The 16,465-nt window shown below is 52.9% G+C and overlaps 1 protein-coding gene across 1 annotated transcript, besides 2 other annotated features; it reads left to right on the forward strand.

Moving 5' to 3' along the window:
* The first annotated feature begins 1,360 nt into the window (after positions 1–1,360).
* Positions 1,361–12,263, forward strand: SAXO5 (stabilizer of axonemal microtubules 5). Its single transcript, NM_198534.3, has 9 exons — positions 1,361–1,495; positions 4,619–5,212; positions 7,934–8,037; positions 8,124–8,224; positions 9,137–9,249; positions 9,330–9,439; positions 9,777–9,978; positions 10,869–10,954; positions 12,019–12,263. Exons 2-9 carry the CDS (start codon positions 4,636–4,638, stop codon positions 12,241–12,243), a joined length of 1,518 nt encoding a protein of 505 aa, NP_940936.2. The 5' UTR covers positions 1,361–1,495; positions 4,619–4,635; the 3' UTR covers positions 12,244–12,263.
* Positions 10,364–10,443: a silencer, noted in NCBI's record as "silent region_9984". NCBI's record gives its function as "represses an Ori minimal core promoter by ATAC-STARR-seq in GM12878 lymphoblastoid cells {active_cell/tissue: GM12878}" and the evidence as "EXISTENCE:reporter gene assay evidence [ECO:0000049][PMID:35858748]".
* Positions 11,756–12,050: an enhancer, noted in NCBI's record as "tiled region #11228; K562 Activating DNase unmatched - State 8:EnhW, and HepG2 Activating DNase matched - State 9:DNaseU". NCBI's record gives its function as "activates a minimal TATA promoter and a strong SV40 promoter by Sharpr-MPRA in K562 cells, with weaker activity in HepG2 cells {active_cell/tissue: K562 | HepG2}" and the evidence as "EXISTENCE:reporter gene assay evidence [ECO:0000049][PMID:27701403]".
* Positions 12,264–16,465: the final 4,202 nt, after the last annotated feature.

The raw sequence follows: 16,465 nt of genomic DNA on the forward strand, positions 1-16,465 counted from the left end.
TTCACCGTGTTCGCCAGGCTGGTCTCAAACTCCTGACCTCAAGTGATCCACCCACCTTGGCCTCCCAAAGTGCTGGGATTACAGGCGTGAGCCACCACACCAAGCCACAACAGCCCTTTTCTGGACGCTACTTTGGGAGGCTGAGATTACAAATGTGAGCCACCATGCCTCACCTGTGTGTTGTTTTTATTTGTTTTTATCTGCTCATCTCAAAAAAGAAAGTAAAATTTCCAACCAATAAATTCATCCCACCCAAATCCCCTACTTCCTTAAGCTGTGCCCCCAAAACACCGAGCAGAATTGCAAATCCCATAATAAGTGCTTTCTGGCCGGGCGTGGTGGCTCACGCCTATAATCCCAGCACTTCGGGAGACTGAAGCGAGCGGATCACCCGAGGTCGGCAATTCGAAACCAGCCTGACCAACATGGAAAAACCCCATCTCTACTAAAAATACAAAATTAGCTGGGTGTGGTGGCACATGCCTATAATCCCAGCTACTCGGGAGCCTGAGGCAGGAGAATCACTTGAAGCCGGAGGTTGCGATGAGCTGAGATCGTGCCACTGCACCCCAGCCTGGGCAACAAGAGCGAAACTCCATCTCAAATAAATAAATAAATAAATAAATAGCGAAAAAAAGTTCTTTCTAACACCTCCCTACTGAGACCGCCATAGTGCCCTATGACATGTATGAGCTCTCTCTCCCTCTCTCTTTCTTTCTCTCTCTCTCTCTGATGAATAATAAGCTTGAATGTGTTCAATCACAGGTACATTCCTGGTGGTCTTTGACTGGGGAAGGAGGGGTGACCGGCCCCTTTAAAGGGAGATCTGTGAGCCCTAGAATAATATCAAGAGGTGCAGTGATTCAGGGAAGTGGGTCCATTCTGTGTGGGGTGTGTAGAAGGTAGAGGGACAGAAAAACTTTAGAGGATGATAATAATAATGGACACCAGCAGCCTATTTAATCAAATCCTCAATACTGACACTGCTTTCTGAACTGGCTACCATCATTAGTCCCCTTTTGCAGATGACAAAACCTAAGTCCTAGCCAGGCATGGTGGCACACACCTGTGGACCCACCCACTTGGGAGGCTGAGGCGAGAGGATCGCTTGAGCCCAGGACTTCAAGTCCAGCCTGGGCAACATAGCGAGAGCTTACCTCAAAAACAAAACCAACCGAACAAAACCCCAGAGGCTCCAAAAAGTCAATTACTTGCCTGGGTTCCTGGAGCTCTAAGGAGGCAGTATTCGCACCAAGCCTGCCTGCTAATTTTCCTCCCGGCTGCCCCTAGAGGTGCTGAGTGGTCATTGTGACAGTATCATTACACAAAGGAAGCTCTTGGGGTCACAATGCGCAGGGCTGGACCACCCTTGGATGCAGCCTGGGAAGGAACATGAGGATCCTCTGAGAGACCAGGGACAGAGGGAGACCCAAAGATCTGGTCTGTAGCTAAGTGAATTTTCTAAAACTCATTGATTCACACGCCATCCCTTGAGGTAGGTGCACTGTCCTCGTCCCTGATGTACAGAGGTGAAAACTGAGGCTCATGGGAGCTTAATGACTTATTCCAAGATTACCTGGCTAGTAGTCTCAGTTGTTGGATTCTCTGATGACCCATTTTGGAGGTCATATTCAACTCTCAACTATTGCAGGGGGCAAATGATTCAAAAAGCAGCAAACTCAGCCAGGCGCGGTGGCTCATGCCTGTAATCCCAGCATTTTGGGAGGCCGAGGAGGGTGGATCACCTGAGGCTAGGAGTTCGAGACCAGGCTGGCCAACATGGCGAAACCCCGTCTCTACTAAAAATACAAAAATTGGCCGGGCGTGGTGGCGGACACCTACAGTCCCAGCTACTCTGGAGGCTGAGGTGGGAGAATCGCTTGAATCCAGGAGGAAGAGGTTGCAGTGAGCTGAGAAAAAAAAAAAAGCAACAAACTTACACACTGAAAAACTGTGGTTTCATTAAAACACACACACACACATACACACACACACACACACACACACACACACCCTTCATCCATGTTTTCTTTCTATTTTTGTGATGGGGTTTCGCTCTGTCACCCAGGCTGGAGTGCGGTAGCGTGGTCTCGGATCACTGCAACCTCTGCCACCCAGGTTCAAGCGGTTCTCCCGCCTCAGCCTTCTGAGTAGCTGGGATGACAGGTGCATACTACCATGCCCAGCTAATTTTTGTATTTTTTTCTTTTTTTTTTTTTTTTTTTTGAGACAGAGTTTCGCTCTTGTTGCCCAGGCTGGAGTGCAATGGCGCAATCTTGGCTCACCACGACTTCTGCCTCCTGGGTTCAAGCTATTCTCCTGCCTCAGCCTCTGGAGTAGCTGGGATTACAGGCATGCGCCACCACGCCTGACTAATTTTGTATTTTTAGTAGAGATGGGGTTTCTCCATGTTGGTCAGGCTGGTCTTGAACTCCGACCTCAGGAGATCTGCCCACCTCGGCCTCCCAAAGTGCTGGGATTATAGGCCTGAGCCACTGCACCCGTCTGATCCATGTTTTCTAAATAGGTAGAGGTAAGCAGGTTTTGTGGGTTGAAGTGATCTGGGAGGTCTTCCTGCAAGAGGTGAGCCTGAGAACTTGGAATGCTGGTCTCCAAGGGAGACAGAGAGGAGAGCATGGGAGACACTTGTGATCTAAGCAAAGGCAAGAAAGTCCCAGGTGACTGAGCAGAGGCGGAGGGTCAGGGGAGGCTTGGAGTCTGAAGCTGAAGGTCAGAGGAGAGAGCTAACTCTCAGAAGGTGTGAAGACAGGAAGAGATTGAGAATAGGCAGGACCTAGGACAACTGCAGAGCAGGGGAAAACCAGTAAGAAAGTGCGTGGCAGGCCGGGCACAGTGGCTCACACCTGTCATCCCAGCACTTTGGGAGGCCAAGGCAGACAGATCACTTGAGGTCAGGAGTTCGAGACCAGCCTGACCAATGTGGTGAAACCCCGTCTCTACCAAAAATACAAAACTTAGACGGGCATGGTGGCAGGTACCTGTTATCCCAGCTACTTGGGAGGCTGAGGCAGGAGAGTCAGTTGAATCCAGGAGGTGGAGGTTGCAGTGAGCTGAGATCGTGCCACTGTACTCCAGCCTGGGGGACAGAGTGAGACTCTGTCACAAAAAGAAAAGGAAAGAAAGAAAGAGAGAGAAGGTAGGGAAGTGAAAGGAGCGGAGGGGAGGGGGGAGGGGCGGGGGAGGGGGAGAGAAGGGAGAAAAAGTGTGGCAGAAACGGAGATGGCCAGTGGCTGGGGTGCAGGGCTGGAGTTAGGCAGAGGAACAAAAATGGGTCCCCCAGAGGGGAAGAAGGAGAAAACCGTGGCCTTGACAACTGACTGAGGGTGAGAAGACGCGGTTCTTGTATCAGACATACAGTAGAATGCAGTGGTTAATTCTCCAAGTTCTAGAATCAGAGTCGCCCTGGGTTCAAATCTCAAGCAAATGACCACCTCCCTGAGCCTCAATGTCTTTTGTGAAGCAGTGGTTAAAACCTACCCTTGGCCAGGCATGGTGGCTAACACCTGTAATCCCAGCACTTTGGGAGGCTGAGGCAGAAGGGTTGCTTGAGCCCAGGAGTTTGAGACCAGCCTGAGCAACATAGCCAGACCCCTGTCTCTAAAAAAAAAAATAGAAAGAATTAGCCATGCATGGTGGTGCACACCTATAGTCCCAGATGCTCAGAAGACTGAGGTGAGAGGACCGTTTGAGCCCAAGAGGTTGAGCCCACCACACTTGTCTAATTTGTGTGTGTGTGTGTGTGTGTGTGTGTGTGTGTGGAGACGGGGTCCCACTATATTGCCCAGGCTGGTCCTGAACTCCCGGGCTCAAGCAGTCCTCTTGCTCTGACCTCTCACTGTGCCTGGATACAGGTGTGAGTCACAGTACCCAGCTATTACCTTCTAACCTACTCTTCAATTTTTGTTGTTATATTTTTTATTATTGTCTGTCATCTCCCGCCCCATTATCAATTCCACAAAGGCAGGGATCTAGGTCTATTTTGTGAACTAATGTTAGTTCCCCACCCCTGCTGGCCTCCAGGCCTAGAGTAGGGACAGAAATCATTTATGTGGTGCCTACTGTGTGCCAGGCCTACAGTAGGCACCACATGAAAGATTTTTTTTTATGTTTTGAGACGGAGTCTCGCTCTGTCGTCCAGGCTGGAGTGCAATGGCACAATCTCGGCTCACTGCAACCTCTGCCTCCCGGGTTCAAGCGATTCTCCTGCCTCAGCCTCCCGAGTAGCTGGGACTACGGGCGCCCACCACCACTCCAGGCTAATTTTTTTTAAAAATTATTTTTAGTACAGACAGGGTTTCACCACGTTGGCCAGGCTGGTCTCGAACTCCTGACCTCAGGTGATCCACCGGCCTCGGCCTCCCAAAGTGCTGAGATTACAGGCGTGAGCCCCCGCGCCCAGCCATGATTATTTCTGTCTCTGCTCTCGCTGGGGGAAGGCACAGAAGCTGTACCAGTTTCCCGTGATGTCCCCAGCCTCCAGCTCAGTGCTTGGCGAACAGAAAGGAGTCAAAGGCAGCAGAAAGGAGTCAAAAGCAGGAGTCAAAGGCAAGTGCCCCAATGGGCACTTGCTCAGTCCCTCATCTCCACCCTCTCGCAGGTGGCTGGTGTCCCGCGATGGCCACAGGCGCCCTCCTGCCGTGCTCGCGCCCGTGCCCGATGTCCCGGCTGGACTTCCTCAAGGCCTCGCACTTCTCGCTGGGGCCTGACCTGCGGCTGCACGAGGGCACCATGCGCACCACGTCGCACCGGGACTTTGCCTACCCGGCTGCCACCCGGGAGCCGCCGAGCCTGCAGCCGCCGCCCGCGCTGCTTTTCCCAATGGACCCGCGCTGGGACCGGGAAGAGCGCGTGTCGGAGGCGCACCGCGCGTTCCCGCCGCCATCCACGCCGCCGTGGGAGCTGCTGCAAGCGCAGGCGCGGGAACGCACGCTCGCCATGCAGGCCGGCAACCTGCACCTGCACGAGGACGCGCACGCCGGGATCGGCCTCTCCAACGCGCACGCCGCCTACGGCTGGCCCGAGCTGCCGGCGCGCACCCGAGAGCGGATCCGCGGCGCGCGCCTCATCTTCGACCGCGACTCCCTGCCTCCTGGCGACCGCGACAAGTTGCGCATCCCGCCCACCACGCACCAGGCGCTCTTTCCACCCCACGACGCGCGCCCGCAGCCTCGCGCGCCCAGTTGCCACCTCGGTGAGCGCGCGCCCGGGCTGAGTGGGCGATTTGCTTCACATTGTGGTTCTCAAACAGGGGCAAGGGCTCTTCATTCCCCTTCCCCCAGGGAACATTTGGCAATGTCTGGAAACGCTTTTGGTGGTCAGGACTTGGGGGGTGGCCGGGCGCGGTGGCTCAAGCCTGTAACCTCAGCACTTTGGGAGTTGGAGGCGGGGGGATCGCTTGAGGTCAAGAGTTCGAGACCAGCCTGGCCAATATGGAGGAACCCCGCCTCTACTAAAATACAAAAATTAGTAGGGCGCGGTGAAGGGTGCCTGTAATCCCAGCTACTTGAGAGGCTGAGGCAGGAGAATCGCTTGAACCCAGGGGGCAGAGGTTGTGGTGAGCTGAGATTGTGCCACCGCATTCCAACCTGGGAGACAGAGCAAGGCTCCGTCTCAAAAAAAGGAAAGAAAGAAAGGAAGAAGAGAAAGAAGAAAGAGAGAGAGAGAGAGAGGAAGGAAGGAAGAAGGAAGGAAGGAAAACAAGACAGAGAGGAAGGGAGGGAGGGAGGGAGGAAGACTTGGGGGGTGGCGAGGCCACCCGCGGTGGCTCACGCCTGTAATCCCAGTGCTTTGGGAGGCCTAGGCAGGAGGATGTCTTGAGGCCAGAATTGGAGACCAGCCTGGGCAACATAGCGAGACCCATCTCTACAAAATAAAAATTTTATTATTTTTTTATTATATATATATGTGTATATATTTTTTTGAGAAAGTGTCTCTGTCACCCAGGCTGGAGTGCAGTGGCATGATCTCGGCTCACACAGACTAAATCTGCCCAGCTCAAGTGATCCTCCCACCTCAGCCTCCCAGGCAGCTGGGACTGCAGACACGCATGTCACCAGGCCCAGCTAATTTTTTGTACTTATTTGTAGAGATGCAGTCTTACTATGTTGCCCTGGCAGGTCTTGAACTCCTGGGCTCAAGCAATCCATCTGCCTCGACCTCCCAAAGTGCTGGGATTATAGGCATGAGCCACTGAGCCCAGCCCTTACAAAATAAAAATTTAAAAAGATGGGCAGAGGTGCTACCAGCAGACAGCGGGTAGAGGCCAGAGATGCTGCCAAGTATCCTCCCAGCCAGCCCCAAATGTCAATTACACCAAGCCTCAGAAACCCTGGAACCACCTTGAGCATCAGTTTCAGCATCAGGAGGGTGGACATATCCTCTGAATCTGTCCAGAGTGGTGCATGGTTGGCAGAAGTCATGAATGCCAGTTTGGGGTCAGACAAATCAGCTAAGTTCCCCAGCTGTACACCCTCCTCCCCACACCCCCCAGCCTTACCACCTTAGTAGCTGTGTGAGTCTGAGGGAGTTAACCTCTCCAAGCCTCAGTTTCCCCGTCTACAAAATGGGTGCAATCACAGGGCCCAATTCACAGGAGCTAGTAAAGCTGAATGTGTATGGTGTGTCTGGTGCAGAGAGCACTTAACAAAGAGTAGCCAGCATTCGTGTAATTTTCCAATTCTGTGACTCCAGGGACCCTTTGGGTGAACATTACTGGTCAGAGGCCCCTAAGATGGGCTCAGGGATTGTCAAACCCTGATTTGACATTTAGTTGTGATTCCTAGTTTCTGTGATTTCTGGCAAGTTGCTTAACCTCTCTGAGCCTCAAGGAGGCTGTAACAAGAGAAATGATACCAGGTCCAAGAAGAAGTTGCGGCCGGGTGCAATGGCTCATGCCTGTGATCCCAGCACTTTGGGAGGCTGAGGCAGGCGGATCACTTGCGGCCAGGAGTTGGAGACCAGCCTGGCCAATGTGGTGAAACCACATCTCTACTAAAAATACAAAATTCAGCCTGACCTGGTGGTGCGTTCCTGTAATCCCAGCTAGCTACTTGGGAGGCTGAGGCAGGAGAATCGCTTGAACCTGGGAGGAGCAGGTTGCAGTGAGTCAAGATTGTGCCACTGCACTCCAGCATGGGCCACAGAGCGAGACTCCATCTCCAAAATAAAAGAGAGACGGAGAGAGAGATACTCAGTCCTGGAAAAAGATGCAATGCACTTAACCTATGTGTGGCTCAATATAGTCCTTGGTAGATATTATTGGGGTTTTTTTGTTTTATTGTGTGTGTGTGTTTTTGAGACAGAATCTCACTCTGTGGCCCAGGCTGGAGTGCAGTGGCACGATCTCGGCTCACTGCAACCTCCACCTCCCAAGTTCAAATTATTCTCCTGTCTCAGTCTCCTGAGTAGCTGGGACTACAGGCACATGCCAACACACCCGGCTAATTTTTATATTTTTGGTAGGGATGGGGTTTCACCGTATTGATCAGGCTGGTCTTGAACTCCTGACCTCAGGTGATCCACCTGCCTTGGCCTCTCAAAGTGCTGGGATTACAGGCATGAGCCACCACACCTGGCTGTATTTTTAAATTTATCATTATTTTTTAGAGATGAGGGTCTTACTATGTTGCCCAAGCTGGTCTCCAGCTCAAGATGGGCTCAAGCCCATCTTTGCACTTCAGCCACCTGAATAGCTGGGATTACAGGCATGGGCCATTGCACCTGGCTTTTAGTATAATTTATTTTATTTTTATTTTTATCTTTTGGTGTTTGCCAGACAGCTCTCAGTCTACACTGTTCAGAATGGCCCAGCTCCCCTTCCCAGGCAAGAAATAGAATTCCTTCCAGAGGGCTTGAGATGGCAGGGAATCTCAATCTCTCTCTCTCTCCCCCCATCCCCCTTGCCTATCCTAAGGGGGCCCCAACACCCTCAAGTGGGACTACACGAGACAAGATGGGACTTCCTACCAAAGACAGTTCCAGGCCCTGCCAGGCCCACCTGCCTTGAGGTGTAAGAGGGTAAATTGAGGCTGTGTTGGGGCTGCAGGCGGGGGCAGAATTGGGGGCTGGGTGGTTTGGGCCTTCCTATCCCTGTCTGCCCACAGGCCTCCTCCGGAGTGGAGCTGGGAGACTGCAAGATCAGCTATGGATCAACGTGTTCGGAGCAGAAACAGGCCTACAGGCCCCAGGATCTGCCTGAAGATAGGTATAAAGGGGCCACTGCGGGCACGGTGGCTCATGCCTGTAATCCCAGCACTTTGGGAGGCTGAGGCAGACAGATCATGAGGTCAGGAGCTCGAGACCAGCCTGGCCAATATGGTGAAACCCTGTCTCTACTAAAAATACAACAATTAGCCGGGTGTGGTGGTGGGCGCCTGTAATCCCAGTTACTCCGGAGGCTGAGGCAGGAGAATCGCCTGAACCCGGGAGGCGGAGGCTGCAGTGAGCCAAGATTGCACCACTGCACTCCAGCCTGTTCGACAGAGCAAGACTCCATCTCAAAAAAAAAAAAAAAGTGGGGGACGAGGGGGCACTGCCTTCCCACCCAGATGGGACAACTGGCTTTCAGTAGCATGTGGTATTTGCCCCTTAGGGCTTTAGGGCCCATACTCTGCCTCTGAGGTCTCTGTCACTGGTAGCCAAGGTGCACTATTGTGCCAGATCTCTCATTATCAGAGCCCCACAGCTTGGTCATTAGGAAACCCTGCTCCCCTCCCTCTTTCTGGGGGTTGCAAGGCCCCAGATGGATCCACTTTAGCTTCTTCTTCTTCTTTTTTTTTTTCTTTTTTTTTTTTTGAGACGTAGTCTCGCTCTGTTGCCCAGGCTTGAGTGCAGTGGCACAATCTCAGCTCACTGCAACCTCCGCCTCCCGGGTTCAAGCAATTCTCCTGCCTCAGCCTACCGAGTAGCTGGAATTACAGGCATGTGCCACCATGCCCGGCTAATTTTGTATTTTTAGTAGAGATGGGGTTTCACCATTTTTGCCAATCTGTTCTCAAAAGCCTGACCTCAGGTGATCCACCCACCTCAGCCTCCCAAAGTGCTGAGATTACAGGGGTGGGCCACCATGCCCAGCCCACTTTACCTTATTCTTGATGGAATAATACACTACGTACAGGTATGACAAGGCCCAGGCCACAGCCCACATCCACTGTGTAAATATCCGTCCTGGTGACGGCCTCTTCCGCGACAGGACCACCAAGGCCGAGCACTTCTATGCCAGGGAGCCAGGTGAGAGCCTGAGGCCCGCCCCGTCCCGCCTCCCACCGCAGCCTCCCAGGGCAGCTCTGCACCTGTTCCGCTTCTGGCAGAGCCTTTTGTTCTTCACCACGATCAGACTCCGGAGTCGCACATCCTGAAAGGAAATTGGTGCCCCGGCCCCGGCAGTCTGGACACCTTCATGCAGTACTTCTACGGCCAGGTGAGCAGGAAGAGCGAAAAGGCGGCAGGGAAAAGGGCTTCCCAGACAGAGCAAATAGCAGGTGCAGAAGTCCCAAAGTGGGAGTGAGCTTGATATGTATGCAGGAATCTCCTGGATGTACTTGAGTGATCTAGGGCGAGTCACTTAACCACTCCGATCCTCCTCCGTGGCTCCTTCTGTAAAATGAGATAAGAGTACCAACTCCCAGTGCTACCAGGTGGGGCCCAGAAGGGGTGAGGGAGCTGTCCAAGGTCACACAGAGCCCACCTCCTCCCTCCCCCCCGGGCCCGGGGACCTCTCGGACGCCGGAGCTTTCAAATGCCATGTGGTCCTACAGCCGCCACCCCCGACCCAGCCACCCAGCCGCCACGTGCCTCATGAGAAATTGCAGAGTCATGTGACCCTAGGGGAGCCAAAGCTACTCAAACGCTTCTTCAAGACCACCATGGGCTCGGACTACTGCCCTTCAGAGTGGAGACAGGTGCAGAAAGCGCCCAACCTCCACTTGCAGCAAAGCTACCTGCCGCGGGGCACGGGCGGTGAGCGCTCCCGGGAAGCCCCGCCCCATGGAGCCCCGCCCCGGGAAGCCCCACCCCCGAAAGCCCCGCCCCCATGGAGCCCCTCCCCATGGAGCCCCGCCCCCACGGAGCCCCGTCCCGGGAAGCCCAGCCCTGGAAGCCTCGCCCTTGCCACTGCTCTGGCCCCGCCCCTAACCAGCCCTCCCCTCCCCCGGCTTCATCCCCTGAAAGGCTAAATCCCACCCCCAATTGACCAGAACCCCAACTCTGCTCCTGGATAATCCCGCCCCTTCATGGCCATGCCTCTCCCCTTCATAACTCCATCCTTCTGGACACGGCCCTGCCCCTTCTCCATCCTCTCTTATCCAGTCTTAACTCCTCTTCCATTGTCAGACTCTGGCTCCGCCCCTGACCCGCTAGCCTGCCCTGCCTGGCCCTGCCCACAGACTCATCTGGCCCGGCCCCGCCCCTGACCTTCTTAGCCCTATGCCCTAGCTCTGGGTTCCTCCCCTAGCTCCTCCGTCCTCCTCCAGCTCCTCCCTCTTCCCAAGCTCCTCCCCCTTTCTCTGGCTCCTTCCTTTGTCCCAGCTCCTCCCTCTTTCCCAGTTCCTCCCTCTTCCCCAGCTCCTCTCTCCTCCCCTGGCTCCTTCCTCCTCCCCCACCTCCTCCCTCTTCCCCAGCGCCTACCTCTTTCCCAGCTCCTCCCTCTTTCCCAGCTCCTCCCCCTTCCTCTGGCTTCTCCCTCCTTCTTTGGCTCCTCCCTCCCCCCTCTCCTAATCCATTTTTCTCCCCTGGTCAACTTCAGCGCTGGCCTGGGCTTGGCTCTTGAACCCTTCCCTTGAACTTCACCACACCCTCAGCCCCGCCTCGGCCCACAGCCCTCACTCAGCCTCCCCAACCTGAATCTCCAGAATTCGATTTTTTAACCATGAACCAGAAGATGCTGAAGCCACACAGAACACCTCCGGCCCCGGTGACTGAAGAGATGCTACAGCGGGTAAGGGAGGCGGAGGGGAGCCACCCATCATTAGGCAACCCCCACATTGGTGTAGAGTTATCTCAGGACGACTATGCTGTCACCCTGTCTCAGAGTTAGTGATCACCCAGGCTCGGGGGCATCTTAATATCCCTTCAGCCTGAAGATCATCCCTAGCTTGGCCGGGTGCAGTGGTTCACGCTTGTAATCCCAGCGCTTTGGGAGGCCGAAGCAGGCGGATCACCTGAAGTCAGGAGTTCGAGACCAGCCTGGCCAACATGGTGAAACCCCGTCTCTACTAAAAATACAAAAATTAGTCAGGCATGGTGGCGCATGCCTGTAATCCCAGCTACTAGGGAGGCTGAGACAGAATTGCTTGAACCAGGGAGGCAGAGGTTTCAGTGAGCCAAGATCGCACCATTGCACTCTGGGCTGGGCAACAGAGCAAGACTCTGCCTCAAAAAAAGGAAAAAAAAAAATAGAGGTCATCTCTAGCTCACCCCCCAGGGTCATGTCAAGGTCAGCTCAGGGGCATCTTTGCACCACCACCACTGTTATACCCAAGACGAGGGTTAATTCAGAGCCACCCAGGATCACCCCAGCCCTGGAGTCCTTCCAGGGACACCCCTGGTTTCTCTCCATCTTCTTATCCAGCTCCTCATTCAGCCCAGCCTGGGGCCCTTTTTGCCCACCTCTCCCCAGAGTTCAACCTCCCCAGCCTTTGATGCTCTGGCTCTGTCCCTAGGCGGCCCCACCTTACCCCAGGCTTCACCTTCTGAAGGGCTAAATCCCACCCCAAATTGACCAGAACCCCAACTCCGCCCCTGGACAATCCCGCCCCTTCGTGGCCAAGCCCCGCCCCTGCATAACTCCACCCTTCTGGCCATAGCCTCGCCCCTTTCCCTATCCTCTCTTACCCAGTCTTAACCATCCTCCTTGGTCAGACACTGGCTCCGCCCCGACCAGCTAGCCTGCCCTGCCTGGCCCCGCCCCCTGACTCATCAGGCCTGGAGATCCTGGGGTGGACAGGGTGGATCGGCCACCTCCCAGGCTGCCCTGCCAGGCTGTCCACCCTGTCTCCACAGTGCAAGTACAGCCACATGGAGCCCCCTCTGGGTGGACTGCGCTTCTTCTCAACACAATACAAGGACGAGTTTCCTTTCAAGTACCAGGGCCCAGCAGCCCTGAGACTGAAAAATCCTCAGGAGGGCTTCGTGCCCCTGGGCACGCCTCACCAGCGCGGCTGCAGGGAGAAGATAGACCCTCTGGTCCCCCAGCCCCCTATGTACCTGTGCCCCAGCCAGCAATAAATGCCATCTTGGCAACATTCCACTCTTTCCCATCAGTCAGCCCATCCAGAGGATGCTTGGGTGGGTGGGGGCTGGAGGAAGGGACTGCACGGGAAAGGATGACTCCACTGTTGCTGCGTTGCCATGAAGAGTATGGAGTCAAGGCTGGGCGCGGTGGCTCACACCTGTAACCCCAGCACTTTGGGAGACTGAGATGGGAGGATTGCTTGAGCCCAGGAGTTTGAGATCAGCCTGGGCAACATAGGGAGATCCTGTTTCTACAAAAAAAAAAAGATAATCGGCCAGGTGCAGTGGCTCACACCTGTAATCCCAGCACTTTGGGAGGCCGAGGCGAGCGGATCACCTGAGATCAGGAGTTCGAGACCAACCTGGCCAACATGGTGAAACCCTATCTCTACTAAAATACAAAAATTAGCCAGATGTGGTGGCACATGTCTGTAATCCTAGCTACTCGGGAGGCTGAAGCACGGGAATCACTTGAACCTGGGAGGCGGAGGTTGCAGTGAGCTGAGATCACACCACTGAGCTCCAGCCTGGGCAGCAGAGTGAGACTAAGTCTTAAAAAATAAATAAATAAATAAATAAAAATTTTAGAAAGCCAGGCATGGTGGTACGTGCTTGTAGTCCAAGTTATTCAGGAGGCTGAGGTGGGAGGATCACTTAAGCCCAGAAATTTAATGCTGCAGTGAGCTATATGATTGCACCACTGCACTCCAATCTGGGCAACAGAGCAAAAACTCTGTCTCAAAAAAAGAATAAAGTTATAGTGCTGAACAGAGATACTGGCGTGCGTACTTCAGAACACAGATCCCTGGGGCCGGGGAAGGGTGGGGGTGCTGGATGGGCATAATCCAAACTCGGACTCCTCCACGTCCTGGGTGGTAGTTTGGGCAAGTCACTTAACCCCTATGAGCCTCAATTTGCTCATCTATGAAATGGGGATAAGTAGCAATTCTCCCATGAGACTGTTATACATGAGAAATGTACACACTTTTCAGTGCATGGGGCTGGGGTCGTGGAGGGGAAGCTTCCCTTCTGAGGATGAGAATGGGGAAGGCCAGGGTGTGGGGAAAAAGCTTTCAATGGTGGGGACACTGGATGTGGCCCATAGAGGACATGGAAGAGTGGACACAGCTGAGAATAACCCAGCAGTTTTTTCCATCATGGACAGAGACTAGAGACCGAATGGGGCACTGGTTGTCTGGGCAACTGGTCCCCAGGTCAGAGCAGAGTCCAGGGGCAAATTGACAAAAGCCATCAAGATATTATGAGGTCCAGGGGGGTAAGTGTTCAGCCAGGGACAAAATGTAAAGGGTCAAAAGGAGGAGGATGTGATGGGGCTCTGCAGCAAGTGAGTGACAGGGCTTAGCAAGGACCAGTACCTTGGACAGCGCCTGACCTTTAAGGTCCAGGGCATGGTGAGGAGAAAGGTCTGTCTGGGGTAAGGTCTGTCTCGGGTAAGGTAGGCTTTAGTGACCATGCCGGGGCCTGCCTCTGTGGGCTGTTGAACATCCAGTCTCAAGGAGTGAACATGGCTTTCCTGAACCAAGAATCAAACCTCCAAAGACCAAGGACCCCAATCCAATGAACCATAAGGTTGAGCCAATCTCGACCCTGCCCAGGAGCCCTTTCCTGGTTGGCATCAGTTCTTCTAGGCCAGGTTGTCATTTCTGCAGGAAAGGCAGGAGGGAATCCAGCTTTGCATCCTGTAGGGACAAGATGACCCTTTTGGCCACACATGGTATCCACCTCGACCATGCAAGAATCTGCCAGCTGTGAATATGTCCTCTAAAGATATTTGGCATCATGCTCTTCTGAGTTACTTCAGGATAAACCAGGGCTTATCATTTATCGGTGTCTTAGATCAGATCATTCTTTATTGGAGGCTCTCCTGTGCATTGTAGGATATTTAGTGCCATCCTTGTCCTCTACCCACTAAATGCCAGTAGAACCTCTCCCTCCCACTTGTAACAAAATGTCCCAAATATTGCCATATATCTTCCAGATGGGAGAGAACTGCCCTGGTTGGAAACCACTTCGATAAGCTCATCCTCTTCTGATGAAGCTGGTCTGCCTAGTGACCAGACTACTAGAACAGAAAGGCTTTCCCTTTTTGCCTTGCCTTCTGGGAAGCTCAGAATGTTTATTTGGTCTTAAGTTCCATGTAGCTGTAGTTGCAGGATTATCTTCCTGCCTCATCCCAGGAATGGTTTAAAACAGCCTTAGGCATTAGATGAAAACAGTCCATAGCAATTAAAAAAGAGCTGGATTTCAGCACAACTTGGAGCACTTTCTGACAATGAAAATGACCAGCCCTAGGATGGCTTGCCAGGGAAGAACAGAAACTGTACTGGAAATGTTTAATCCTTGGGGAAAGACACTACATCAGGATTATTCTGGATGTATTTTATGGATTTATGACTAACCCTCCTATATTCCACTCACTCCCTTCCTTCCCCCAAAAGCCTAGGGATTAAGACAAAAAAATATAGAATTGAATGTGAGAAACCAAGATTTTTTTTTTTTTCGAAACAGAGTCTTGCTCTTGTCACCCAGCCTGGAAAGCAATGGTGCAATCTCAGCTCACTGCAACCTCCGCCTCCTGGGTTCAAGCAATTCTCCTGCCTCAGCCTCCCAAATAACTGGGATTACAGGTGCCCACCACCGCGCCTGGCTAATCTTTGTATTTTTAGTAGAGACGGAGTTTCACCATGTTGCTCGGCTGGTCTTGAACTCCTGACCTCGTGATCTGCCCGCCTTGGCCTCCCAAAGTGCTGGGATTACAGGCATGAGCCACCGTGCCCAGCCCACCAAGATTAATTTTTAAAGGAAAACAACTTTCTCAGTGGTAAGCGTCACCCAGCAGCAGAATTCAGACCTGCCTTTCTGTCCTTAGGCAAAAATACACCCTGACCCTCACTTTCCTTATCTGTAAAATGGGAATGCCAATAGTTCCCGTTTCATAGAGTGGTTACAGGAATTAAATAAGAGGTGCATGTACCATGCTCAGAAGAGGGCCTGGCACTTGGCTGCAGCTCAGTGAATGGTGACTAAATGTGTTAATGTCTTACGTCATTTTGTTGCAAATGACAGAAACCAAGCTCCATCTGGCTCAAGGAAAAAAAGGAATTTTATTGATTTAGAAAAAGACAGGCCAGACGTGGTGGCTCATGCCTGCAATCCCAACACTTTGGGAGGCTGGGGCGGGAAGATCACTTGAACTCAGAAGTTCAAGACCAGCCTGGGCAACATAGTGAGATCTCATCTCCACTAAAAATAATTTAGAAAATTAGCTGGGCATGGTGGTGTGCACCTGTAGTCTCAGCTACTTGGGAGGCTGAGGTGGGAGGATTGTTTGAGCCAAGAAGATTGAGTCTGCAGTGAGCTATTATCATTCCACTCCAGCCTTGGCAACTAAGCAAGTTTCTGTCTCAACAATAACACACACACACACACACACACACACACAGACACACACACACACACAGAAACAAGAAGGTCTGAGTCTGGAATTGGGTCTAATATCAGGCATTTTGCATCAGGACTCTGTCCCCCTGGCCATCTCTCAGTCCTGTGTCCCTCCAAGCAACAGCAAAGGAAGATGCTGGTAGTATTTTCCAATCATTATGATTAGATCCCCCAGAGAAGGGCGGGGTCTTTCCACCACGCTCCCTCTATCGAATTTTGGTTTTTGTTTTGAGACATCTGTCACCCAAGCTGGAGTGCAGTGATGCAATCTCGGCTCACTGCAACCTCCGTCTCCTGGGTTCAAGCAATTCTCCTGCATCAGCCTCCCAAGTAGCTGGGACTACAGGCATGCACCACCATGCCCGGCTAATTTTTGTATTTTTTATTACAGACGGGATTTCACCATGTTGGCCAGGCTGGTCTTGAACTCCTGACCTCAAGTGATCCGCCCGCCTCAGCCTCCCAAAGTGCCGGGATTACAAGCATGAGCCACCACACCGGGCCCCATATTGGGATTTAAGGAACAGGCTGATTGGCCCATTTGAATCACTCACCGAGTTGTGGACCAATCACTGTGCCCAGAGGAAAACAATATGGTGATTGGTTTGCCCAGCTCAGGAACCCACCCCTAGGTTATTTAACTCCCCAAACCCAGCCAGGATCACGGCGCTGGAGCCCAACCTTAATTGACTGTGTCTCCTAAGGACAAATCTGTGTCCTGCCCCAGGTTGCAATCTGGAGGGTGGATTAGCTC

This window comes from Homo sapiens, chromosome 19, assembly GCF_000001405.40.
Source record: "Homo sapiens chromosome 19, GRCh38.p14 Primary Assembly".
Lineage (NCBI taxonomy): Eukaryota > Metazoa > Chordata > Mammalia > Primates > Hominidae > Homo > Homo sapiens.